This window comes from Homo sapiens, chromosome 14, assembly GCF_000001405.40.
Source record: "Homo sapiens chromosome 14, GRCh38.p14 Primary Assembly".
NCBI lineage: Eukaryota > Metazoa > Chordata > Mammalia > Primates > Hominidae > Homo > Homo sapiens.
In genome coordinates, this window is record NC_000014.9 from 58,244,843 (window position 1) to 58,272,071 (window position 27,229).

The 27,229-nt window shown below is 40.3% G+C and overlaps 1 protein-coding gene and 1 long non-coding RNA gene across 5 annotated transcripts in view, besides 2 other annotated features; one reads left to right on the forward strand and one right to left on the reverse strand.

Annotated features, from left to right (window-relative positions):
* PSMA3 (proteasome 20S subunit alpha 3) lies at nucleotides 1-27,162 on the forward strand. Of its 3 annotated transcripts, none has more exons than NM_002788.4 (11): nucleotides 1-99; nucleotides 2,908-2,990; nucleotides 7,277-7,400; nucleotides 12,903-13,004; nucleotides 13,083-13,156; nucleotides 16,106-16,178; nucleotides 18,863-18,928; nucleotides 22,632-22,678; nucleotides 25,576-25,643; nucleotides 26,092-26,156; nucleotides 27,009-27,162. In NM_002788.4, the coding sequence occupies exons 1-11, from the start codon at nucleotides 79-81 to the stop codon at nucleotides 27,051-27,053; spliced, it is 768 nt and encodes a 255-aa protein (NP_002779.1). In that variant the 5' UTR covers nucleotides 1-78; the 3' UTR covers nucleotides 27,054-27,162. The 3 variants fall into 3 exon arrangements, 2 of the variants coding, with proteins under 2 accessions (NP_002779.1, NP_687033.1); NM_152132.3 differs by having other exon boundaries at nucleotides 16,127-16,178; NR_038123.2 differs by lacking the exon at nucleotides 2,908-2,990.
* Nucleotides 13-910: an enhancer, noted in NCBI's record as "H3K27ac hESC enhancer chr14:58711573-58712470 (GRCh37/hg19 assembly coordinates)". NCBI's record gives its function as "activates a minimal SCP1, AML or CMV promoter by ChIP-STARR-seq in naive H9 embryonic stem cells {active_cell/tissue: H9 hESC(naive)}" and the evidence as "EXISTENCE:reporter gene assay evidence [ECO:0000049][PMID:30033119]".
* Nucleotides 25-474: an enhancer, noted in NCBI's record as "active region_8448". NCBI's record gives its function as "activates an Ori minimal core promoter by ATAC-STARR-seq in GM12878 lymphoblastoid cells {active_cell/tissue: GM12878}" and the evidence as "EXISTENCE:reporter gene assay evidence [ECO:0000049][PMID:35858748]".
* The window catches only part of PSMA3-AS1 (PSMA3 antisense RNA 1), a 32,773-nt gene continuing 26,066 nt past the window's right edge, over nucleotides 20,523-27,229 (reverse strand). For both annotated transcript variants that reach the window (NR_029435.1, NR_029434.1), the window contains one exon: nucleotides 20,523-22,551. This is a non-coding gene — a long non-coding RNA (PSMA3 antisense RNA 1). The remainder of the gene's footprint in view (nucleotides 22,552-27,229) is intronic.

The following is a 27,229-nucleotide window of genomic DNA, read 5'->3' on the forward strand; positions in this document are numbered from 1 at the left end:
ACTAGTTTGCGGCATCCTGTGGTATAGGGGAAGCGCTCCGGGCCTGGAATCCCTACGCGTCCCTTTGGGTTTAGCACGATGAGCTCAATCGGCACTGGGGTGAGTTCGCTGTCTGTCGGTGTAATAGTTTAACCTAAGGATTGGGGTTGAAGGGAACTCGGACAGACCACATGGGGTTCGCGGACCCGGGGTGCTCTGAGACCGCCTTCGGCTGGGTGGGCCATTTGCAGCTGTTTGGAGACCGGTCGTCTTTATCCCCTATATGCTAGGCCTGCGTCTCAGGTGACCGTGACTCCTGAAGCTTTTCAGCGCAGGTGTAGCCGGCTTGGCGTCGCCGCAGTGAGGTTTGGAGCCGCTTTGGATTGCTGAGTCACTTTCTTCAGCCACTTAGGGAAACCGAAAGTGGAAACTCGTGGGGCTTGAAATAGTGTGTTCTCTTGAGAACCACCGAGGCAGTGAGATTTGGGATTCCGGGGTCTGGAGATCGTGCTTTTTGTGGACTGCGTTTGCAGTTCCTAGGGTGCTGCTGATTCACAGGCCTTCTCTGTCTTTAAGTGTGCAGATCATTGACCGCTCAGTTTAAGAGTCACTGGAAATCCTGTCGGAACAGAACTAATAAAAATGGTCTGAAAAACAATCTGATGAATCCTTCAGTTTTTCCTTTCTCGTTTTTCCTATACAAATTACCTAACAGCGCTTGTAGGCATTTATTCCGTAAACGTTTAAATGGTTACTTAGGAACTTAACAGCTTCAGACTTTTCATAGACTGTTGAGGATTTTGCAGTGGGACTTGTTAACTTGTTTGGCTTTCCTTTGTTAAACGTATTGCATATGTGCAGTCAGTTTACTCCTTTTATGTACTTCTCTATATAGAAAATACAGTTTCTAAAAGATTTATTGGTTATTTGCACTAGAGTTATTGAATAATGAGTTTCTCAGTTCCTCAATTTCTACTTCTTAACAAGATTCTCATGCTCAGCCTTAAGTTCAAGTACCGGTGTTCTAAATTTGATAATAGGCAACTTATGTCTGGAATGGTTTAATCCATTCAGTTATGAATGCTAAAGTTCTGCCATACTTTTCTTGGATAAGTAAATGCTCAATATTAAATCTTGTAGCAAACTGACTTTGCAATTATATTAATATTACCTTGAATTAATAGTATTTCATTCTACAAACCTTTTAAAGAATACTTGATAATGTAACCATGTGGGATATTTTAGTAACAATGGTAGGGTTAATGATCTGGGTTTAACAGATCAGGAAACAGACTCAGAAAGTACCACTGCTGAAGGCTTTTCTTCTGTCTTCATTTCTCCCAAGAACTCCAGATACGAATATTTGTTTGTCTGCTTGACATGTCTGTTCACTTGATCGTTTAATAGTCATTTCGTACTGCATGTGAAAGTAGAGCTCTGGGTTTTCTCCTCACCTTGCCATTTTGCATCTACTACAGTCTTCAGCTCAGTGAATGGTCATATGAAAAAATCTGTTATTCATCTTTAATTCCTTTTTTTACTTTACTCCCAGAACCAACGCTTTAGCAAGTTTATTTTTTTATTTTTATTTTGTTTGAGACGGAGTCTTGCTCTGTTGCCAGGCTGGAGTGCAGTGGCACGATCTTGGCTCACTGCAACCTGTGCCTCCCAGGTTCAAGCAATTCTCCTGTCTCAGCCTCCCGAAGAGCTGGGACTACAGGTGCGCACCACCACGCCCAGCTAATTTTTGTATTTTTCGTAGAGATGAGGTTTCACCATGTTGGCCAGGATGGTCTCCATCTCTTGACCTTGTGATCAGCCCGCCTCACCCTCCCAAAGTGCTGGGATTACAGGCATGAGCCATCACGCCTGGCCTAGCAAGTTTATTTTTATTATTTTTATATTTTACTCTACTCTCAAAAAATATTCCCTTCTACCTCTTCTCTCGTCTAAGCTACTACCGCTATCTTTGGAACACCTTATCTTTGCTTCTGTTGTTCTCTCTACAGCTTATTTTCCGCATAAAGCCAGAATGATGTTTTTAAAAATATAGATGATACCACTCCCCCTGCTTAAATTTCTCATTGCATTTAGAATAAAATACAGAGTCCTTTTTCCATCCTGGAAGACACAACATAATCTGGCCCTCAGCTACCTCACTAACACAGTTTACTCTTCTTTCTGCTGCTTACAGTGCTTGGGACACAGTGACCTTATTTCTGTTTCTTGACTGTGCTAGCCTTATTTCTACCCTAAGATCTTTGTGCCAAATGTCAAGAAGACTTTTCCTTCATATCTTAAATGGCTAGCTCCTTGTCATTTAGGTTTGACTCAGCCTAAATATAACTGCCCAGAAGGCCTTCCCTGATGATGTAGTCTGTAGTAGTTCATTGCTTTACTCTTTTATTTTCATCTTAGTGCCTTTTCTGATTTACTGCTGTACCTCTAGCACCTAGATTCATGTCTGATGTGAAACTGAAGGACTTAATGAATGAGTATACCTTTGTATTCCGTATAGTAACATAATAGATACTCATTAACTGCTTGGTGAATGCCGAATGATTTGTTTGAAGTCTTTTAGTTTGTTAATGGCAGAGTTATCGTTACAAATTTAAATGTTCGAACTCCAGTGCTGGTTCTACTGCCCCATATTAATCTTTTTCAAAAATGAGTTTTGTAGTCTGGGTGAAAAGTGTTCTGACTTCACCTGGGACCTGTATCCATTACTCTTCAATAGCTGAAATCGAAGGTATATAGCTTTATCTTAGCTACTGTTGCTGCTCTGACAAGTTTCCCTTTCCTCTCTTGAAAGCAAGGTCTTTGTTGGGATATAACAGGTTCCTGATGTTTCAGCCATTTAGAGGGGAAGAAACTGTATGGTCATTACTGCCAAAGATACAAGCTTACTGTTGCCCTTTTCTCCTTAAGTATGACCTGTCAGCCTCTACATTCTCTCCTGACGGAAGAGTTTTTCAAGTTGAATATGCTATGAAGGCTGTGGAAAATAGTAGGTAAGAAACATTTAACCAGGTATTACATGTCTCCTTTTATTTTATATATTTTTGGCGATTAGGCTTTGTTATGTTACTTTGGTACAAATTAGTATATGTCCCCAAATCTCAATTTATTCATTTCCAGATCTCTTTCTAGGCCAGATGCTTTCCATGAGCCCCAGTCCTATATTTCTCGTTGATTCCAGGATTATCCACTTAGATTTTCCATGTTGCAGAGTGTATAAATCACATTCATTATCATCTTTTTGTTTTCCATTTTCAAATTCTTGATTTGTATCATAGGCTTCCTCAGCCATTAGGTTTGTGACCTTGTTATTTTTTATTTCTCATACATCTTGTGTTTTAAATGTCTTATGCAATTAGTCACATGTTCGATTCAGCAAAGATTTTTTCTATGTCTGTTTCTGTTTTGAGACCTGAGTCTCACTCTGTCACCTAGGCTAGAGTGCAGTGGCACGATCTTGGCTCACTGCAACCTCCGCCTCCTGGGTTCAAGTGATTCTCTTGCCTCAGCCTCCCCAGTAGCTGGGATTACAGGCATGTGCCACCATGCCCGGATAATTTTTGCATTTTTAGTAGAGACGGGGTTTTGCCACGTTGGCCAGGCTGGTCTCAAACCCCTGGCCTCAAGTGATCCGCTCACCTCGGACTCCCAGAGAGTAGCCCCAGTCCTATATTTCTCGTTGATTACAAAGAGCTGGGATTATAGGCGTGAGTCACTGTGGCCAGCCTAAATACGATTTTAAAAAGTCAGATTTATGCAAATATGAGGAAATATCTTTAAAAAATTGAAACCTTAAAAACGAATGTGTTTTTTCCTGAATGAAGAAAAAATGCAGCCGGGCGTGGTGGCTCACGCCTGTAATCCCAGCACTTTGGGAGGCTGAGGCGGGCGGATCACCTGAGGTCAGGAGTTTGAGACCAGCCTGGCCAACATGGTAAAACCCTGTCTCTACTAAAAAATAACAAAATACAAAAATTAGCCGGGTGTGATGGCACACGTCGTAGTTTCAGCTACTTGGGAGGCTGAGGCAGGAGAATCACTTGAACCTGGCAGGTGGACGTTGCAGTGAGCCAAGATTGCACCACTGCACTCCAGCCTAAGCAACAGAGACTCTGTCTCAGAAAAAGCTAGGATTTTAAAAATGAGACGTAGTTTCACTCTTGTTGCCCAGGCTGGAGTGCAATGGCACAATGTTGGCTCACCGCAACCTCTGCCTCCCAGGTTCAAGCAATTCTCTCAGCCTCCCAAGTAGCTGGGATTACAGACATGCACCACCATGGCCCGCTAATTTTGTATTTTTAGTAGAGACAGGGTTTCTCCATGTTGGTCAGGCTGGTCTCGAACTCCTGACCTCAGGTGATCCGCCTGCCTCAGCCTCCCAAAGTGCTGGGATTACAGGCATGAGCCACGGCGCCCGGCCTAAAAGTTCTTCTTTTTAAAGATGTATTAACCTGTCCTTTGATACTACACCCAAAGTGAACAAATGCTAGTTTCTTATTTTAAAAAAAAATGTTTATTTATTTTAAAAAAGAGGCATGGTCTCACTCACTATGTTGCCTCGGCTGGTCTTGAACTTTTGGGCTCAAGTAATCCTCCTGCCTTGGCCTCCCAAAGTGATGGGATTACAGGTGTGAGTCACTGCGCCTGGCTTATTATTCCTTTTTTTTAAAAAAAACTTTTTTTGGGGGCAGGACATAGGATCTCGCTTTGTCACCCAGGCTGGAGTGCAGTGGTGTGATTACAGCTTACTGCAGACTCGACCTCCTGGTCTCGAGCTATTCTCCTCCCTCAGCCCCACAAGGTAGTTGGGACTACAGGCATGTGCCACCACGCCTGGCAAATTTTTTGTAGAGACAGGGTTTCACCATGTGGCCCAGGCTGGTCTCAAACTCCTGAGCCCAAGTGATCCGCCTGCTTAGGCTTCCCAAAGTGCTGGTATTATAGGTGTGAGCCACCGCACCCAGCCGAAGTCTTTGAATTCTTATGAAAATAATTTTGACCTCGAAGACTGCCTGAAAGGATTTCAGAGATTTCCAGATTTTCAAGAATGTTTTAAACAGTGTGGAAGATGTTGAGTTGAGATAATTAAGACAGGCTTCCTGCTGGGCGTGAGCCACGCCTGTAATCCTAGCACTTTGGGAGGCTGAGGCAGGTGTATTGCTTGAGCTCAGGAGTTCGAGACCAGCCTGGGCAACATGGTGAAATCCCGTCTCTACTGAAAATACAAAAAATTAGCCGGGCATGGCAGTGCGCGCCTGTAATCCCAGCTACTTGGGAGGTTGAGACAGGAGAATCACTTGAACCCGGGAGATGGAGGTTGCAGTGAGCCAAGATCACGCCACTGTACTCCAGCTGGGGCAACAGAGCGAGACTCCATCTCCAAAAAAAAAAAAAAAATAGGGACAGAGTTTCAAAATGTTGGCCTGGCTGGTCTTGAACTCCTGGCCTCAGGCAAGCCTTTCACTTGGGCCTTCCAAAGTCCTGAGGTTACATTCTGACCTGTACTGCTTGAGTTCAACTAAGTTTGCAAACCTTTTGGGGAAATTCATTTAAATAGGCAGTAGTGAAGAGGAAATGTATTCTAGCATCCAGGATAACCTCAAAGACATGGAATCAAAAATGAACATGAGGTTTTTGAAGGTTGACAGTGAGGTAACCAGTAGAGTACAGAATTTATAACAGGAAATTGAATATGCTCAGGGGGTTCTGCCAGACCCTTAGGAGTTTAAACTTGCAAGGGGAGCCATGGAAGACACCTAAAGTGTTGGGGAAGGAGTGTCAGAAATTCTTAGAAAATTTGTTGTGTGCATCTGTTGTTCATTTTTCTGGGAGGAAATGCCATAGTTTCATCAGATTTTAAGAGGCCTGTGAATAACACAATTCCCCTGCTTTTTAGATTGTGGATCCCTTTTTAGATTCTGACTATGGCAAAATGAAACACAGCTAGGAATTAGGCTGGTCTTAGATTAAACGGATTAGAGAAGTAGAAAAGATGGTGTAGTAATCTAGGCCTGAAATTATAAGGATCCCAATGCTGGTATAATTATTGTAAAGAAGTGGACATGAAGGAAATTTTGAAGAAAAAAATTAATAGTAAATAGAAGCTCAACATGGAGGATGTAGAGCTTGGTGATGCTATTATCCAAAACAGAGAAGTTGTGCCGGTAGTCCCAGCTACTGAGGCTGAGGTGAGAGGATTACTTGAGCCTCAGACTTCAATTCAATCTTGGGCAGCATGGCAAGACTCCATTTCTTTAAAATTAAAAAAAAGAAGAAAGAGAAAGTTGAGATAATTTTACCAGAAAACTGTACAATCAAGCATTGCTTATTTTGTCTCTATTGTTTCCGATCAGAACTACCTTTATCAAAAAGGAATAGAAGAATAAAGTGTAACACATTTTCATCTTGAAATGGCAACAAGTAATTTCTCCACATTTTACTTGAGGTTGTGTGTGTGTGTGTTTGAGACAGGGTCTCACTCTGTTGCACAGACTGGTGTGCAGTGGTGCAATCTTGGCTCACTGCAGCCACCACCTAACTGGGCTCAAGCAATCTCTCACCTCAGCCTCCCAGGTAGCTGGGACTACAGGCGTGTACCACCATGCCTGGCTAAGCCAGGTTTCGCCATGTTGCCCAGGCTCGTCTTGGACTCCTGGGCTTAAAAGATCCTCCTGCCTCAGCATCCCAAAGTGCTGAGATTACAGGTGTGAGCCACCATGCCTGGTCTTAAGAGGTTATTTTAAGATCTTTTTATTTTAAACAGTTGTAGCAGAACATATATTTTATTTTTATATACGTATTAGAAGCAATATGTTTATTATGGAAAAATTGGAAGAAAGAGATGAGCAAAAGGAAGAATAAATCATAATCCTTCTACCCAGAGCAGTCACTGTTAACTTTTTAGTTTGTATCTAACCTTTTATGTCTGTTATGTACCATTTTTAATGGACATGAATTTATGTCAACATTTGTTTATAACATGATTATCATAAGCCAGACACTGAGCCATATTGTGTTTCGTTAGCATCATTTTTATACTTACATATTAATATATTTTTAGTCAAATGATGTACTAGATTCTGGAGGGAGGGTCACATGATATTTATATGGATTTAATGTATTTATTACACTTTAGTGTGTTTTCTCTTCCTGGTTTTCAAATGTTTTAAGGTATTTGGCATGCCTTAAATGTTACTTATTTTGTTTTTTTGTTAAACTTAAGTTTATGAAGTTTCTTTTATTTTCAGTTAAAAAACTGATTTTCTTCTCCTTGTTTCAGTACAGCTATTGGAATCAGATGCAAAGATGGTGTTGTCTTTGGGGTAGAAAAATTAGTCCTTTCTAAACTTTATGAAGAAGGTTCCAACAAAAGACTTTTTAATGTTGATCGGCATGTTGGAATGGTAAGGTCATGTTTAAAATGTTCCTTTTTGTCTTGTCCAATTTCTTTTGAAGTAACTGATTGGAATAGATCACTGTGCAGTCACAAAAGTAATCAGAGCAAGTTACTGCATTTGTCCAGTTCACTGTCCAGTAGAAAGGCAGCATTCTCATAACCTTATTAGTGATGGGGGAAAAACCAAGTTGCTGAAAGAAGAGCAGGTGAGGGAGAGGGCTGGGGAGTATGCGTAGAAATGAGATCTTGGCAGCACACATTACTAATGAAGGTATATGCTTGAGAGGTGAAGAATCTTTAGCTTTCTGTATCTCTTGTGGGGATCACTGTCAAAGTAAAGATGCCATCAGATAGCGAACACCTTTATATAAGGTGGAACATCAGGAAAGGATGTTTAATGAAAAGGAAAAGTGAACACATCCATAATAGTTTCATAGGGCATCACTGAAATTAAGTTATTCATGCAGCTGGTATCTAAGTTATGAGTGACTAAATTGCAAGCCAAGCCATAGATACATGACTGGTATATACTAAAGTTACCCTACATAGATGGCAGACTTGGCTTAGTGAGAACCACTACTGAAAGAAAAAAAAAAAAAAGAATCAAATGATTCTAACCCTGCCACCTGAAAAGGAAAGGAAGAAAGGAGAATATCTCTATATTAGGTTTTATGCTGGGAGCTCTTTACATAAATTACCTTGTTTAATCTTGACAACCCAGTGAAGGTTATATCAATGTCATTTTCTTTTTTTTTTTTTTTTGGTTTGAGACAGAGTCTGGCTCTGTCACCCAGGCCGGAGTGCAGTGGCGCCATCTCAGCTTATTGCAGCCTCTGCCTCCTGGGTTCAAGCGATTCTCCTACCTCAGCCTCCCAAGTAGCTGGGACTACAGGTGCCCACTACCATGCCCAGCTAATTTTTATATTTTTAGTAAAGGCAGGGTTTCACCATGTTGGCCAGGCTGGTCTCGAACTCCTGACCTCAAGTGATCCATCTGCCCGCCTCAGCCTCCCAAAGTGCTGGGATTATAGGCGTGAGCCACTGCGCCCGGCCTAATGCCATTTTCACAGGTGAAAAAACAGATGCACAGCAAGTAAAGAAAAGCTGGGATTCAAACTTGGGTCTGCATGTTACTCAAGAGCCCTTTCTAAATGAAAAGACACCTTATATGACCCACATCGTTCAGCTGATAGCTTTCTTATATCTAAATGAGATTTAATGTTACACACAAACACAAAAAGTACTGGTAAAGTATAACCAGTAAACCATAAAGCTAATTTTTTTCTTCTTCAAAGATTATTTTATCTCAACAATATGTTTCTCCTGAACAGATTTTTTTATTTTGCTGCAAATGACAGGATTTTATTTTATTTTTTGAGATGGAGTCTCACTCTGTCATCCAGGAAGGAGTGCAATGGCGCGATCTCAGCTCACTGCAACCTCTGCCTCCCGGGTTCAAGCAATTCTCCTGCCTCAGACTCTCAAGTAGCTGGGATTACAGACATACGCCGCCACACCCAGCTAATTTTTGTATTTTTAGTAGAGACGGGGTTTCACCATGTTGGTCAGGCTGGTCTCGGACTCCTGAACTCCAGTGATCTACCCGCCTTGGCCTCCCAAAGTGCTGGGATTATAGGCGTGAGCCAGCGTGCCCAGCCTAGCATTTTATTCTTTTTAAAGGATGAATAGTATTCCATTGTGTATATATACATTTTCTTTTTACTGTTTTTTTGTTGTTGTTGTTGTACAGATTTTTCTCGTCACCCAGGTACTAAGCCTAGGACCCAATAGTTATTTTTTCTGATCCTCTTCCTCCTCCCACCCTCCACCCTCAAGTAGGCCCCATTGTCTGTTGTTCCTGTCTTTGTATCCATGAATTCTCATCATTTAGCTTCCACTTATAAGAGAGAACATGTGGTTTTTGGTTTTCTCTTCTTGTATTAGTTTGCTAAGAATAATGCTGAACAGATTTATTATTGCCAGTGAAACTGATATGTTTTGATGAAACTTGCTACATTGTAACCTAGCTAGTAGGAGGTGATCTTGTATTCTTTTATGTACTAGCAAAAGTTAATATTTTGAAAAAAATTATGCATGCATATATATATGTATGTACACACACACAGAGGTCTTGCTCTGTTGCCCAGGCTTGAGTGCAGTGGCATGATCATAGCTCACTGCAGCCTTGCGCTCCTGGGCTCAAGTGATTCTTCTGCCTCAGCCTCCCAAATAGCTGTGACTACAAGTGTGCCATCACACCTGGCTAATTTTTTAGTTTTTTTAAGAGATATGATCTTGCTGTGTTGCTCAGGCTGGTCTTGAACTCCTGGGCTCAAGCGATCCTCCCGCCTCAGCTTCTTGAGTTGCTGAGATTACAGGCATGAGCCAATGTGCCCTGTCAACATTAGACATTGAAGAGGGCTGGAGAAAATTAAGACTTAATATCCTCCCTCCTTCCACAGTTGTCATCTTCAAGTGATTTGAGAATTATATGACTTTACAGTAAGCTTTCTCTAAAGCAACAGAAGATTCTTTAAGTGATGTAACTTACTGGCATGGGTTACCTTGGGGAAGCTATTCTAAACACGCGTTTCCTTGTCTGCAAAACAAGAGTGATAATAGTACTTGGCACATACAGTTGTTGTGAGGTTAAAAATTATTATGCAAAATGCTTAACATGTAATGAGTGCTCAGTATCTCTTAGTAATTATCATTATTACTATTACTGGGTAGCGTAGGAAAAAAAGGCTATTAAAGATTGTGATACCACTTTTAAATTCTGTAACTGTCCTGGGCTAGAGGGTTTCAAAAACTTGGTTGGTTTATGGTACCTTAAGTGTCTCAGTAGTTTTTCTCATGGCTTCCCTAGGCCGAAAATACCTAATGGTTTCATTTATTAAGTATTTAGATCCAAAGAACTTAGTGTTTACATCCTAAAAACTTAGTAGCCGTTTTTTTTTTTTAAATACACACATAGTGAAAAATATTTTTATTTAAAAATTAAAATGTTTTATTTTAAGCAACCAAAATTTCTAGTATATACACTGCACAACCTCCCAAATTTGGATGTGGCCACTGTCATTTCCTGTTCCACACTGATTTTTGCACAGTACTTACTTTTTTTCACAGCAACCACTAACAGCCAAGCTTCTCAAAGATGTGGTGGCATTGAAAGGAATGTAGTAAAACGATCTAATGTTCAAACGGAACTACTTGGACATTTTTCTCCAAACTTAGAATGTGCCACACTAGGCCAGGTGCAGTGGCTCACACCTGTAATCCCAGCACTTTCGGAGGCCAAGGCGGGCGGATCACCTGAGGTCGAAAGTTCAAGACCAGCCTGACCAACATGGAGAAACCCTGTCTCTACTAAAAACACAAAAATTAGCCGGGCGTGGTGGCGCATGCCTGTACTCCCAGCTACTCGGGAGGCTGAGGCAGGAGAATCCCTTGAACCTGGGAGGTGGAGGTTGCGGTGAGCCGCGATTGCACCACTGTGCTCTAGCCTGGGCAACAAGAGCAAAACTCCATCTCAAAAAAAAAGATATGCCACACTAACATGTGATTTCACTGCAGTGCCTGAGGACCTCTCGGCACATACATAGTAACTGCAATTCTGTTTTTGTTTTTGTTTTTGTTTTGAGACAAAGTCTCATTCTGTTGCTCAGGCTGGAGTGTAGTGGCGTGATCTCGGCTCACTGCAGCCTCCGCCTCCCGAGTTCAAGTGATTCTTGTGGCTCAGCCTTGGGAGTAGGTAGGATTATAGGTGCCCGCCACCAAACCTGACTAATTTTTGTATTTTTAGTAGGGGTTTCACCATGTTGTCCAGGCTGGTTTCAAACTCCTGACCTCAGGTGATCCCCCTGCCTCGGCCTCCCAAAGTGCTGGGATCACAGGCATGAGCCACCGTGCCCGGCCTAGTAACTGCAGTTCTAAGCCGCAAATCTTGAAAGAGGAATGGTTTATCATTGTAGTTTATTCAGCCAATAGGCTGAAAAAAGATTTGCGATTGTGCCTTTTAGAACAAAACAGTTACAGGTTGAGTATCTCTCGTCTAAAATGCTTGGGACCAGCAGTATATCGGATATTTTTCGATTTTGGAATATCTGCATTATATACTCATCAGCTGAGCATCCTTAATCTGAAAATTCAAAATCCAAAAAGCTCTACTGAGCATTTCCTTTTTTTTTTTTTTTTGAGATGGAGTCTCGCTCTGTTGCCCAGGATGGAGTGCAGTGGCGCGATCTCGGCTCACTGCAACTTCCGCCTCCCAGGTTCAAGCAATTCTCTGCCTCGGCCTCCCAAGTAACTGGGATTACAGGTGCCTGCAACCACGCCTGGCTAATTTTTGTATTTTTAGTAGAGACGGCATTTCACCATCTTGGCCAGGCTGGTCTTGAACTCGTGACCTTGTGATCCACCTGCCTCAGCCTCCCAAAGTGCTGGGATTACAGGTGTGAGCCACCAGGTCCGGCCTGAGCATTTCCTTTGAGTGTCATGTTGGCACTCAAAAAGTTTCAGATTCTGAAGCGTTTTAAATTTCAGATTTTTGGATTAGATATCCTCAACCTGTAATAACTTTAGAGAAAAGAACAAATTTGGGCCGGGCACGGCGGCTCACACCCATAATCCCAACATTTTGGGAGGCTGAGGCAGGCTGATCACCTGAGGTCAGGAGTTCAAGACCAGCCTGGCCAACATGACAAAACCAAACCCTGTCTCTACTAAAAATATAAAAATTAGCCAATCCCAGCTACTGGGGAGGCTGAGGCAGGAGAATCCCTTGAACCTGAGAGGCAAAGGTTGAAGTGAGCCCAGATGGTGCCATTGTGCTCCAGCCTAGGTGACACAGTGAGACTCTGTCTCAAAAAAAAAAAAAAAAAAAAATCTGACCAAGACCCATGGTTTTTATTCGTTATAATGAGGTAGTGGTAGTAAATCAGGGGAAGAGGATTTATGATAGAAGTAGTCCTGAATATTGGCCGGGCACGGTGGCTCACGCCTGTAATCCCAGCACTTTAGGAGGCTGAGGCAGGCAGATCACGAGGTCAGGAGATCAAGACCGTCCTGGCTGACATGGTGAAACCCCATCTCTACTAAAAATACAAAAAAATTAGCCGGGCGTGGTGGCAGGCGCCTGTAGTCCCAGCTACTCAGGAGGCTGAGGCAGGAGAATGGCATGAACCCAGGAGGCAGAGTGTGAAGTGAGCGGAGATCATGCCACTGTACTCCAGCCCTGGTGACAGAGCGAGACCCCGTATCAAAAAAAAAAAAGGAAATGTCCTGAATATGAACATTGGACAAAGCAATGAAGTTATACTTACTAAATTTCTAAATTATAATTTCATACTCAAGCATCAAAATGCCTTGTAGAGAGACCTTTAAGCCAAAAAAGTTTATTTTGAATGGTAATACTTGTTAAAAAAATGTTTAATAAGTCTTTATTAATTGCAGACTTTGATTTGTGATAGGAATGTGTTCCTCTAGTAAATTGGTGCTTTTTTTTCAGGCAGTAGCAGGTTTGTTGGCAGATGCTCGTTCTTTAGCAGACATAGCAAGAGAAGAAGCTTCCAACTTCAGATCTAACTTTGGCTACAACATTCCACTAAAAGTAAGTTGATAACATATTGAGGAACCTTTTGGACAGTAATAGAAGTTTATTAATAAGCTCTTCTGCTTCCCTCCATAGCATCTTGCAGACAGAGTGGCCATGTATGTGCATGCATATACACTCTACAGTGCTGTTAGACCTTTTGGCTGCAGGTAAGAAATTTTGTGAATTATTCAAAAGGCAGATCTGTACTATAGATATTTATTATGTTCCCCAGCATCTTAGCCTTTTACATACTTAAAAATAGAAACTCGTCGATAAGTATTAGGGCAATGATTAAATAAAACAGTGTACATAGAAACTACTTGAGGCTGGGTGCCATGGCTCAAGCCTGTAATCCCAGTACTTTGGGAGGTTGAGGTGGGAGGATCCCTCGCGCCCAGGAGTATGAGACCAGCCTGGCCAACGCAGTGAGAACCTATCTCTACAAAAAAAATTTAAAATTTAGCCAGGTGCAGTATCACATGCCTGTAGTCACAGCTACTTAGGAGCTGCTTGAGAGGATCATTTGAGCCCAGGAGTTGAAGGCTGGAATGAGCTGTGGCCATACCACTGTACTCTAGCTGGCGCAATAGAGACTCTGCCTCTTTAAAAAAAAAAAAAAAAAAAAAAAAAAGGTTTCAATAGTGAAAAGGACTATATAGATCTGAAGTGATTATAAAACAAGGAACTGATAACAATGACTTTAATCTGATTATAATAAGCTCTCGGTGTTAGTCCCTGATATTCTTAGGTAATTTTAAAAATTACGTCTCACAATTCCCATTAGGCACGGTTTCTCTTTCTGTTGAAGTGCTGATATTTTATTGTGGGGTAAAGTGGAGATTCAGCTGCATAAAGACCTGGAATAGGTATAAATATTCAAATTTGGCTTCACAGAGAAGACTTGTGACTAGATTTTTCTAAAATGAAAAGACATGTTTGGCTTATGACTTAAAACAGTCAAACATGTTTGGTCAAAATAATACATATACTAACATCTGAGTGCTCAGCTGTAGTCCTACCTTTGAGTTGTTTATCATCAGTCATATTTAATTACTAAGATATTAAAGAAAACTTGAGTTTTATTCTATTGGTAATATTACATTAGGGTTTTGTTTTTACTTTTTGAGACAGTTACTGTCACCTGAGCTGGAGTGCAGTGGTGCCATCATGGCTGACTGCAGCTTTGACCTGGCTCAAGCGATGCTCCTACCTCAGCCTCCCAAGTAGCTGGGACCACAGGCATGGGCCACCATGCCTGGCTAATTAACAAAATTTTTTTTTGTAGAGACGGGGTCTCACCATGCTGCCCAGGCTGACATTAGTCATTCTTAAGCTTCTCAGTTAAATTACATTATGAAACACTTTGTTTTCAGACCATGTAAAATACCTTTCAACTGAGCTCTGAGTTCATCAGTTAACTTCTCTACTCTTTTTAAGGGAGTAAGAATAGTAGAGATAACTTTTTTTCATAACTTTTTTTTTGTTTGTTTTGTTTTGTTTTGAGATGGAGTCTCGCTCTGTCGCCCAGGCTGGAATGCAGTGGCACGATCTCAGGTCACTGCAACCTCTGCCTCCCGGGTTCAAGCTATTCTCCTGCCTCAACCTCCTGAGTAGCAGGGATTACAAGCACCTGCCACCACGCCCGGCTAATTTTTTTATTTTTAGTACAGTCAGGGTTTCGCCATGTTGGCCAGGCTGGTCTCAAACTCCTGACCTCAAGTGATCCACCTCAGCCTCCCAAAGTGCTGGGATTACAGGCGTGAGCCACCGCACTGGGCCAGAGAGAACTTTTTTAGTAAACATCTATTGGGCACTGAGTTAGTCATAAATGTGGAGACACAGGTGTGAAGTCACATTGATAAAATATTAGTGATATGATAAAGGGACAACAATTAGGGAACGGACTCTTTCTGGACAGGAGGCAAGGAAGAGTGTGAGATGTAGGGAGACTTGGTAGTTGCAAGCACAGGAACTGGTATGAAAATACGTGCGCCAGAGAGAGTTAAGTATGCTTGGTGTGTAGAGTATGAGGTTTAGAGATGATACTGATGTAGGAAGGGGTCCAGTCATATAAAAGTCTGTGCTCCATGCTGATTTTCTTCAAAGAAATGTTGAAAGGCTTTAAAATAGTGACAATGAGCTATATATCCTGAAGGATAAGTCTCATATCGGTAGAAAATGGAAGGAAATGACGGTAGGGATGGGAATTGAATAGTTAAAATATTCCGCATATAAGATGATGTGTAAGATGCTGCTGATTTCTTTTCTACTCTAAGGCAAATATAGTTGTCCCTTGGTATTTGTGGGGGATTGGTTTTAGGACCTCCCATGAATACCAAAATCCAAGGTTGCTGAAGTCCCTGATATAAAATGGTTAAGTATTTGCATATAACCTGTGCATATCCTCCTGTATGTTGTCATCTCTAGATTACTTGCAATACCTAACACAGTGTAAATAGCTGTTACACTGTATTGTTTAGGGAATAATGACAAGAAAATCACAGTTGTTCAGTACAGAAGCAATGTTTTTTGAAAGTTTTCTATCTGTGGTTTGTTGAATCCACAGATGCAGAACTCATGGAAACAGTGCCCACTGTATGTCACAATTTCAGAAAATCAGTATTTCATACAATCAGCTAATAGCCTAATTTGTTGAGCACAGAAAAATACACTGAACCAATTCTGATTATTGCAGAGAAATGATTGGCAGGATATTGGGAAATAGAATGAAGGGTGGAAAGAATTTCACATGGATTCAGTATACTCTCCGTCAGGAATTTTGTTCCCTTGATCTTTTTGTGTTTATGCCTTATTTATTGGGCCCTCTCATAGTTGTGGTTTTCATCTATCGTTACTCCTTTCCCTGTACTGCTAGACTTTCCAGGAGACCTTCATCAGAAAGATTAATACTAAACAAACAAAAGCTACATGAATTTTGAATAATCTCATGTAATAGTTTTAATTAATTGAAACCACTGTTTCAAAGTACTTACTGAGTTATATGTGTATTAGTAATTTATCTCAGAAAGAAAATATAACTGCATTTTAAAATAATTTTTTCACAAATACTTTTATGTTATTGCCATGGTTTAAGCTGTTTGTATACTTTCATGCAGTTTCATGTTAGGGTCTTACAGTGTGAATGACGGTGCGCAACTCTACATGATTGACCCATCAGGTGTTTCATACGTGAGTAATTTTGAATCATTTGAAATTCTATTTTAGTTTAATGGTATTTCATTAGCATTTAAGTCTCATTATAAGATTATATGAAATTAAAAAAAAACTCATTCAAGGAAAGTAATTTTTCTTTTTTTTTTTTTTACAACAACCTCTTGTCCAACAGAATTTTTTTTTTTTTCCTTTTTGGGGGAACAGGGTCTCACTGTGGCCCAGGCTGGAGCACAGTGGTGTGATCACAGCTCACTGCAACCTCTGCCTCCCAGGTTCAAACAGTTCTTCTGCCTCAGCCTCCCGGGTAGCTGGGATTACAGGTGTGCACCACCTGGCTAATTTTTTTTATTTTTAGTAGAAACAGGCCTTTGCCATGTTGGCCAGACTGGTCTTGAATTCCAGTCCTCAAGAGATCTACCCACCTGGGTCTCCCAAAGTGCGAGTATTACAGGTGTGAGCCACCAGGCCCAGCCATGTTTTCTTATCATTAATAACTGATACGAGGCAGAGGAAAGATTTTTTTTCAGTATGTTATTTATAGAAACTGTATAGTGCATATAGTATTTTGAATATGTGATTTTCCTTTATTACTATAAACACTGTCTTAAAACTGTATTTAATGTCTTTTTTCCTCATTCTTGCCCAGGCTGGAGTGCAGTGACACAATCATAGCTCACTTCAGCCTCTCAACTCCTGGGCTCAGGCGATCCTCCTACCTAAGCCTCCCAAGTAGCTGGGACTACAGGCTCATGCCACCATGCCTAGCTAATTTTTGTATTTTTTTGGTGTCTATAGAGACAAGGTCTTTCCACGTTCCCAGGGCTGGTCTCAAACTCCTGGCCTTAAGCAGTCCTCCTGCCTTGGACTCCCAAAATGCTGGGACTACAGGCGTGAGCATCGATGTCCAGCCATGTCATCCCTTTTATTTTATTTATTTATAAGATGGAGTGTCACTCTGTCTCCCAGGCTGGAGTGCAGTGGCTCGATCTTGGTTCACTGCAACCTCTTCCGCCTCCTAGGTTCAAGCAATTCTCCTGTCTCAGCCTCCTGATTAGCTGGGATTACAGGCATGTACTACCATGCCTGGTTAATTTTTGTATTTTTAGTACAGATGGGGTTTTGCCATGTTGGCCAGCTGGTCTCCAACTCCTGACCTCAGGTGGTCTGCCCACCCCGGCCTGCCAAAGTGCAAGGATTACAGGCGTGAGCCACAGTGCCGGACCTAATTTTGTTTCAGACAGCGTCTCGCTCTGTCACCCAGACTGGAGTGCAGTGGCGCCAAACCTCCACCTCCCCAGTTCAAGCAATTCTGCCTCAGCCTCCCGAGTAGGCTGGGATTAGAAGCATGCATCACCACACCCGGCTAATTTTTGTATTTTCAGTAGAGACGAGGTTTCACCATGTTAGCCAGGCTGGTCTCGAACTCCTGATCTCAAGTAATCCGCCCACCTTGGTCTCCCAAAATGCTGGGATTATAGGTGTGAGCCACCTTGCCCTGCCTTCCCTTTTAAAGAGAAGGTTTAAATGTGATTTCTAAGAGCTTTCCCTAAATTATTACCATTTTTTTTTTTTTTTGAGACAGAGTCTTGCTCAGTTGCCCAGGCTGGACTGCAGTGGTGCAATCTTGGCTCACTGTAACCTCTGCCTCCCGGATTCAAGGGATTCTTGTGCCTCAGCCTCTCAAGTAGCTGGGATTACAGGCCTGTACCATCACACCTGGCTAATTTTTGTATTTTTAGTAGAGACAGACTTTCACCATGTTGCCCAGGCTGGTCTGGAACTCCTGGCCTCAAGTGATCCACGTGCCTCAGATTCCCAAAGTGCTGGGATTACAAGCACTTTGTGTGAGCCACTGCACCCGGCCTGTTACCGTTTCTTAACTGTTTTCTTATCCTTACATTTTTGTCGTTTTTACTAATTGAAGAAAATGAAGATTCTTAAATATATTTTGCTGTAACAGAAGTATATATGTGTACATCCTTTTTTTTTTTTTTTTTGATGGAGTCTCACTCTGTTGCCCAGGCTGGAGTGCAGTGGCGCGGTCTCAGCTCACTGCAACCTCTGCCTCCCAGATTCAAGCGATTCTCCTGCCTCAGCCTCTGGAGTAGCTGGCATTACAGGCACCTGCCACCACACCTAGCTAATTTTTTTGTATTTTTAGTAGAGACAGGGTTTTACAATGTTGGCCAGGCCGGTCTCCAACTCCTGACCTGAGGTGATCTGCCCACCTTGGCCTTCCATAGTGCTGGGATTACAGGCATGACCCACCACACCCAGCTGTGCATCCTTATCTTTAAAAAAATTTACAAAATAATAAAATTGGGGGTTTAGAGTACTGAACTCATAGGAATTAACTTTATTTCTGTCTCTCAGGAATATATAATTTCATTTTTCATTGTCATAGTGCTAAAATCTTTTCCGTTCCTGTTCCCCAAAATGTCTTAAAGTGTATATGATTACATAATTTACATATTTTTGGATATACCTTTATTAAAAATACAGGTTGTTTTGGAATTGTTTGGTATTTTAGTATTTTTGAGCCCTTTGGCATTCATCAGAATGTGTTTGACTATATTTTTCTATACTTGCTTTTAAAAGTCATTTAGCATCCTTTCACTAGGTTATAGAAACATTAGTAGTCATTAATTACATATGATAGTGTACTAATTCAGTGATTATATATATTTTTTTCTAAATAGGGTTATTGGGGCTGTGCCATCGGCAAAGCCAGGCAAGCTGCAAAGACGGAAATAGAGAAGCTTCAGGTAATAATTAATGCTTGAATTTTTACTATGTCGTCATCCTAATGCAGTGAAATTTTATCACCACAGACATTTCAGTCTAAGGCAGGGATGTCCAATCATTTGGCTTCCCTGGGCCACACATAAAATACACCAACACTAATGATAGCTGATGAGCTTAAAAAAAAATCTCATCATGTGTTAAGAAAGTTTACGAATTTGTGTTTGGCCCCATGTGGCCTGTGGCTGGGGAAGCTCGGTGTAAGGATATAGTGTGGTTTGATGTTGAGAGTTTATGAAGCTGCTAAGTCACTGAATGGGAAAGCTGGTAACATATTATCTGTAGAGTTGTGTTATACATCCCTTTATAGATTCTGAATAACTGCTATAAAGCCTCAATCTAGAAAAACACAACTTTTGATATGATTTCACAAAATCCTTGAAACCTATTTATGAATCTCTGTGAGCTCTAGTTTGAAAATTTTGTTTAAAATTTTGAGTTAATAAAAAGTTATATTTTTCCTATATTCTTTCTTTGGAACACAGCTTTTATGTCTGGCTGTGCTCCACCGGTTCTCTTAGCTTTGCTCCTAGCCAGGTAAGGCATAAAGCCTACACTCTTACGACTACCCACTTTTTCTTTCACAAAATTCAGCTATTAGTGTGAAAAAGTTTTCTTAAAAACTTGGTTTTCCTTTTAGCCATGCGTTGATCAACTTAAAGACTTCATGGATACTGTTTCAATATTATTGATTACCTGTCAGAAACTTGCCTAAAAAGCAGGCATACCATTTATCAGTGTTTTGGTAAACTGAAGTGAGATACAATTTCACATACATTTAATGTTAATGCTGTACTAGAACCCTGCTCAACTAATTACTCATTCAACTTATTTAAGACCAGCTTCTAGAAAATACTTATTAGTGCTTGGCATTTATACAATGCTAAGTTCTAGAACCCCCTATAAAACCTAATTTGTTTCGTATTTTAGTAAAGCTGACAAAAGGATCTTAGAGGTCATTTAGCCCAAGCTCAACTGCAGATTAAACACACTGCATAGGACCACAGAATCAGCTGGTTCTGAACAGTATCCAGACCTTATGAGTCTTAGACCTATGTTCTTTTCCATTGCACACTTACTAGTATGATGCTAGGTTCCTATCTTCTACTCTTTTCCTTTTGTTTTCATCTCTCCATACTATTATATGGAAATTTGAAAATTAGAATATTTATGTCAGTTGAGGGGGATTACCCCTGTAATCCTACCAGTTTGGTAGGCCAAGTTGGGAGGACTGCTTGAGCCCAGTAGTTCCAAGACCAGGCTGGGCAAAAGAGTAAGACCCTATCTCCCAAAACAAAATGTTAGCGAGGTGAGGTGGTGCGTGCCTGTAGTCCCAGCTACTTGGGAGGCTGAGGCAGGAGGACTGTTTGAGCCCCAGCCAGGAGTTGGGGGCTACAGTGAGCTATGATCACGCCACTGCACTCCAGCCAGGGCAACAGAGCGACACCTTATCTCAAAAAAATAAAGGAAATTAGAATATTTAGAGCAGTTACTATCTGTCTTTCTGTAGTTAAATCCTAGCAAGGAATGGGAAAAACAATAAATCCCAGAGAAAAATCAAGAAAAAAAAATCACTTTAATTGAGGAACACTTTCAGTTTGTGACAAAATTATGCTGTGAATCAGGTGTTGCAAATTATGGCCCACTGCCTGCTTTTGTGTAAGTTTTATTGGAACACAGCTACATTCAGTCCATGGCTGCTTTTAGAATACAACAGTAGACTTTAACATTTGGAACAGGGAACAGAAACCAGAGCCATACAGCTAATAAACTTGAAAATATTTACAAGTTGATGCTTTACAAAATCCATCTGCTGACCCCTGCTCTGTACCATTGTTCTCTTCTGATGGTCTGTTTACTAAAAAATAAAAACTTCACAAACATGTAAAAAATAGATTTGCCATTTAAAATGTGCTTTTCAAGTTTGACTTTTTAGGATGCAATTAATTCACTAAATACAGAACTTAACTAAGGACAAAAATTTAAAGATCAGCATTCTTTCCCTTCCCATCACGCTCAACTTAACATGAAGAACTGTAAACATCCTAAGCTTACAACAAACCTATCTAGTTAGACTTCAGTTAACCACTTACACATCCCCCTCCCCCATGAACTATTTGGAAAAAGCTGCAGGCGTAATATTGGATCCCTAAATACTTTATTCTCCTTATACCATTATCAGACCCAAGTATCATCTAATAGTCCATAATCAAACTGCCTAAGCAGTTTCTACACTGTCTTTTTAACTATTTCAAACTATCAAGGTTCGCATTTTCTTCCTTAGAACTTTTAGTCTTTTTCTTCCCCAAAATATTTGAGTCCATGCCAGTTGCCTTTAGTTGTACCCAAATAATGGTTTGTCTATTTCCTAAAAGTAGTACTCTTAAATTTAAATTTAGTGTTATTTTTGTTGTCATTGTTCCTTCTTCCTCATGTGGTTGTGCAGGCAGAGCTTGAGCATCCAGATTTCAAAATTAAAAAATAAAAGATAATCTAGTTTAATATATAGTAGTTGAATCACCTTAAGTCTAGACTGCTGTATGAGCACCCATTATCTTTCACTATATTCCATCATCCCCCAACATATCCACAGTAGATGAAGGGCAGTTTGCTCAAACATTGTTTTGATCCTGTCATGTCTGTTCAGAAATGCCTGTCTATTCAGAAACCCACGTCTAATAACAAAATCTTGGACTGGTTACTATCAAAACCCAACAACATACAGACTCCTCAGCTAGGCCCTAGGGATATTTTTCTACCTTGATTTCCAAATGTTCATTGAAAGAATGCTTAATTCTAATTTGGAAAAAAGTTTTTGGCTTCCCACTTCTGCTTTACACGTTCATCTTTCTTGAAATCAAATCCAATCCAATCTATATTCTAAGAACCTGCTCAAATCTTGGTTCTTCAAAGCTTTCCCTGGTATTTTGCATTTTTGCTTTGAATAGTTCCACGAAGGATAACTTCTTACTCCTTCCTTCATCTTTCTGTATCTTGCATATAGTAAATATTAATGACTTGTTTGCATTTTGTTATCCTAACTTGGCTATAAAGAAAATCAGATGTCTTCACCAGTCGTTCAAACTTCAGGTCTGCCTACAGATTCATAGATGGCTGTGGATTTTTATAATTTTGTCACAAAGTTAGTGGTAACTACAGGTTATCTCAGAATATCTTTTTTGGCGTATAAATTTTTTTCTTTTCCTTTTTTAGACAGTCTCTCTCTCTGTCGCCCAGGCTAGAGTGCAGTGGCGTGATCCCGGCTCACTACAACCTCTGCCTCCTGGGTTCAAGAGATTCTTAGGCCTCAGCCTCCCGAGTAGCTAGGGTTACAGGCGCGCACCACCTCCATGCCCAGCTCTTTTGTATTTTTAAGTAGAGACAGGGTTTCACCATGTTGGTCAGGCTGGTCTCGAACTTCTGACTTCAGGCAATCCGGCCGCCTCGGCCTCCCAAAGTGCTGGGATTACAGGCACAAGCCACTGCACCCAGCCTGGAGTATAAATTTCAAAACATTAAAATATGAATCAGGAAACTTCGATTCTGGTCTTTTTCAGACTTTAGGTTATTTTCCTTGGTTTTATATCTGAGTATAAAAGTGAAAATAGTTATTACACAAGTGGAAAATGTTCTTCTGATGAACAGTATACATTTTATTTTCTATAGATGAAAGAAATGACCTGCCGTGATATCGTTAAAGAAGTTGCAAAAATGTAAGTTGAAATTTTTCTTACCATCCACAAAAATATTTCATTTGACCTTTGCATATATATATTACATTAATCCTAAGAAGCTGTTTTCCTGTAAAATAACTTAGTGTATAATTTTTAGAAGGTAAATTTAACATTCTAAGAAGCCTCACGAAGGAAGAAAATGTTTTTAAGCAATATTTTTTAGTAGTAATGAATAGGATGGGAAAAATAGCTTGACAAAATAAACTCCTGTTACAGGTTAAGGACATATACCATTAGGGTCTTAATTTGTTAGCTCCCAACTTCTCAAATCTCTTAAGTCCTAATAATAGTAATCTTAAGATTGCCTCTATTGTAAGAATGCTTACAAACTTTATAGGTTACAACTAATTATTTCAATACATGATCCATGAAGCTGGCTCATTTATATAATCTGCTATTTATTTGGGAAAGATATGTTTCACTTTTTCAGGTTTATTATAAAAGTTCCTATAACAAGGTAAGAAGAGCAGTATTACAAAACATTTCAACAACCAGCTTAAGAAACCCTGAATAGTTTATTACAGGTATATAAAGTAGAATACTATTAATATGTAACAGGTATTTGGACAGTAAACAATAAAAAAGTCAATTAACCTGGGTAGTGATGTTTCTAAAATTTTGTGATTCTCTAGATCAAAGAGTGTAGACATTTGGTATTACAAAAAGATTCCAACAAAATACGTTGTGTAGCCAGCTTTTTAGATTCAAAAGTTATGGATAATCGTAATTCATAACAACTCTAAGTATTCCACATTAGAACTACATAAACAAGGTCTAGTCAATCACCTGTCTGTATGGTAGTGTATCAGGTTTTACATCTAACAATACGTGGAAGAAAAAAATTCCAATGGGCTCTATTGTTTAATAAACATACTATTTACATCACACTCAGAGTCTCTTATTAACCGGTCCATCATTACTGCTACTGCCTTTACCCCTCTTGCCACCTCCTCCCCTCCGCCCTCCTAGTTTCAGTTGTGAAGCAAGCAGAAGCCATTCTATGATTGTCAGTTAATAATGGCAACACTAGGAACCAACATGCAGCAGAGCTGCTAAGAAAGGAAGTCAGATATCTTCCTTGAATTGTATAGTATGTTATCATGATATACTCTGTTTCCTTCACCGAACCAATCCTTTGAAGTCCTTCTGGAAATCAGTTCTTACCATCTTTTATATTTAGGTATAATGGTAGTCATCTGTTAAGTGTTCCATGTTAGGAAAGCCATCCCTTCATCATTTAAGAAAATGGAGCAGCATGTTATCTTTTACTTAGTTGTAGAAAATCAAGATCCTCTCATATTATAGCAAGGTTTTAGAAGACCCTCCAAAAAGTAAGGTATGTAACTCAGTGCATAGTATTAGATAAAGCTATACTCTGCTACTGTACTTAATTTGATACTTTTTTTTTTTTGAGATGGAGTCTCACTCTGTCGTCCAGACTGGAGGGCAGTGGCACGATCTTGGCTCACTGCAACCTCCGCCTCCCGTGTTCAAGCAATTCTCCTGCATCAGCCTCTCAAGTAGCTGGGATTACAGGCGCCCACCACCACACCTGGCTAATTTTTGTATTTTTAGTAGAGACAGGCTTTACCATCTTGGCCAGGCTGGTCTTGAACTCCTGACCTTGTGATCCACCCACCTTGGCCTCCCAAAGTGCTGGGATTACAGATGTGAACCACCGCACCTGGCCTCTTGATACTTTTTATGTTACTTTAATATGTTGCATGACAGTGCCTCCTTCTTTGCTGTAATTTGTAAGGTACTACAATGTGAAGGCCAGGTTATGTGGCATATATGCCATTATAAAATGGACAAGGAGCTTAAAAAGACTACTGCCAAGAAGCTATAGGTTGAAGAGACCACTAATAATTGCAAGCACATAAATTAGTTTTTTTTTTTTTATTTTTTTGAAACAGAGTCTCACTCTGTTGCCCAGGCTGGAGTGCAGTGTCGTGATCTCAGCTCACTGCAGCCCCTACCTCCTGGGTTCAAGCAAGTCTCCTGCCTCAGTTTCCCGAGTAGTTGGGACTACAGGCCTATGGCCACCTCACCTGGCTAATTTTTGTATTTTTAGTAGAGACGTGGGTTCACCATGTTGGCCAGGATGGTCTCGAACTCCTGACCTCATGATCCACCCGCCTCTGCCTCCCCAAAGTGCTAGGATTACAGGCACGAGCCACCATGTCCAGCCAATTAGTTGGTTTTAAATATATTTAAGTTAATGGACAAAATATTCTAAAAGGGCACAGTTAATGACGCCTCTTCCTAGTGAATCCGTGTTCTTTATGAGGTATCTTTTATAGTTGTATCTTTTTTTTTTTCTGAGATGGAGTCTCGCTCTACTGTAGCCCAGGATGGAGTGCAGTAGTGTGATCTTGGCTCACTGCAACCCCTGCCTCCCGGGTTCAAGGAATTCTCCTGCCTTAGCCTCCTGAGTAGCTGAGATTACAGGCGCCCACCACCACACCTGGCTGATTTTTGTTTCTTAGTAGAGACAGGGTTTCACCATGTTGGCCAGGCTAGTCTCGAACTGACCTCAAGTGATCCATCCGCCTTGGTCTCCCAAAGTGTTGGGATTACAGGTGTGAGCCACTGTGCCCAGCCAAGTTATATCTCTAAAGCAATGTGCAAAAATAAACTGAACTTGGGTTGATTAGGTATATTCAACATTTGTCGGGAGAGTAGATGTTTCATTTTATTTCAGTCCCTGTGTAATTTGTCTTCTCTAATGTTAAATACTATGTAGAATGTGTCTGTGTAATTTTATAGATACTTTTATTATGGATGGACATTCTAATTTGTACTGACTTTGGGTCTGTGAACTACTTCAATGTTTGGAGGTTACCAAAATCTTACCTTTCCCTTTTCTATTCTAGAATTTACATAGTACATGACGAAGTTAAGGATAAAGCTTTTGAACTAGAACTCAGCTGGGTTGGTGAATGTAAGTTATTTTTGTACATTTATTTGCCTTAGGAATGATCTGTACCACAGCTAATTTACAACTGAGTGTCCTTTCTAATATAATGAAAGCTAAAGCAAATTTACTAGGTTGTCTAATGAAGGGAAAGTTCTGCTTAATAATTGACTTAAGTTGTGAACACGTTATTTTTTGAAACATCCATTTCATGGTTTTAAGATACTATGCTATAAATTAATGCTCAGGATTTATAAATAGCATAATTTACTTTCATTTCCATAAGAACTTAATATGTAGGCACATATAATCTCATGTAGAAGCAGCACACAAAAATATTCGAGTATTACTCATAGTACAACTTTGCAACCTTAGGTGAGTCAGATATGTGGATTGGGTAGATCCTATGGTATACTGCAAGTTACAATATGGTACTCAATTTAAAATTCATTTACACATGTGGCTTAATTTACAGTAACTAATGGAAGACATGAAATTGTTCCAAAAGATATAAGAGAAGAAGCAGAGAAATATGCTAAGGTAAGCCACAGCACAAAAACTTCTCTTGGCCAGGTACAGTCAGGGAATCACTTAGCCCAGGAGTTTGAGACCAGCCTGAGCAGCACAGCAAGACCCCCATCCCTAATTTAAAAAAAAAAAAATTCTCTAACCAAAATTATGTGTTGAATAATATAAATAGACTGGGGTGGTTTCTATGAAATAACACTGAGAGTTCAGTTGAACTAAAGATAGAAATTTTCTAGGTTATCTCTAGTGGGTAAAGTTGCCTTGGTTCCAAAAAAAAAAAACTTGGGAGGTTTAGACTGCAAAGAGTTTTTTAGGACTTTTAATACTTTAAATATTTGTTCTTTTTTTTTTTTTTTTTTTTGAGACGGAGTCTTGCTCTGTCACCCAGGCTGGAGGGCAGTGGCACCATCTCTGCTCACTGCAACCTCTGCCTCCAGGGTTCAAGCGATCCTCCTGCCTCCGCCTCCCAAGTAGCTGGGATTACAGGAACATGCCACCATACCTGGCTACTTTTGTATTTTTGGCTTCACCAATAATACAGAGACGGGTTTTCACCAGGCTAGTTTCAAACTCTTGAACTCACGTGATCTGCCTACTTTGGCCCCCGTAAAGTGCTGGGATTACAGGCATGAACACTGCACCAGGCCTCTTAAGTATATATTCTATCAAAGATACAGTCATTGCATGTTAGAGCAACATTTGCTTAATTAACTTTGCTTGGGTATCTTATTCTGAAACTGTTCATTCAGTTACAAGTAGAGGAATTTAACCACTTAATTCAGGTTGTTGTAGCTTAACTTGCCCACAGGTGTGGGATATAACAATTTTAAAAATCAATTTTAAACACCTGTTTTCTCTTAACAGGAATCTCTGAAGGAAGAAGATGAATCAGATGATGATAATATGTAACATTTACTCCAGCATCTATTGTATTTTAAATTTCTACTCCAGTCCAATGTAACTATTTAGCCCTGGATTATACATACTGTCCAATTTTCATTAAATTTTTGTCTTATAACTATTGAAGTTTGGTTAATATCTGCTTTACAAAATTGGTGGGGGTAAATGAGGACATTTACTCAGTA

Coding starts and splice junctions, on each gene's coding strand:
- PSMA3 (NM_002788.4), top strand. CDS start 79: ATGAGCTCAATCGGCACTGGG. Junction 13,157..16,105: donor GTTAGACCTTTTGGCTGCAG/GTAAGAAATTTT, acceptor ACTTTCATGCAG/TTTCATGTTAGGGTCTTACA. Junction 16,179..18,862: donor ACCCATCAGGTGTTTCATAC/GTGAGTAATTTT, acceptor TTTTCTAAATAG/GGTTATTGGGGCTGTGCCAT.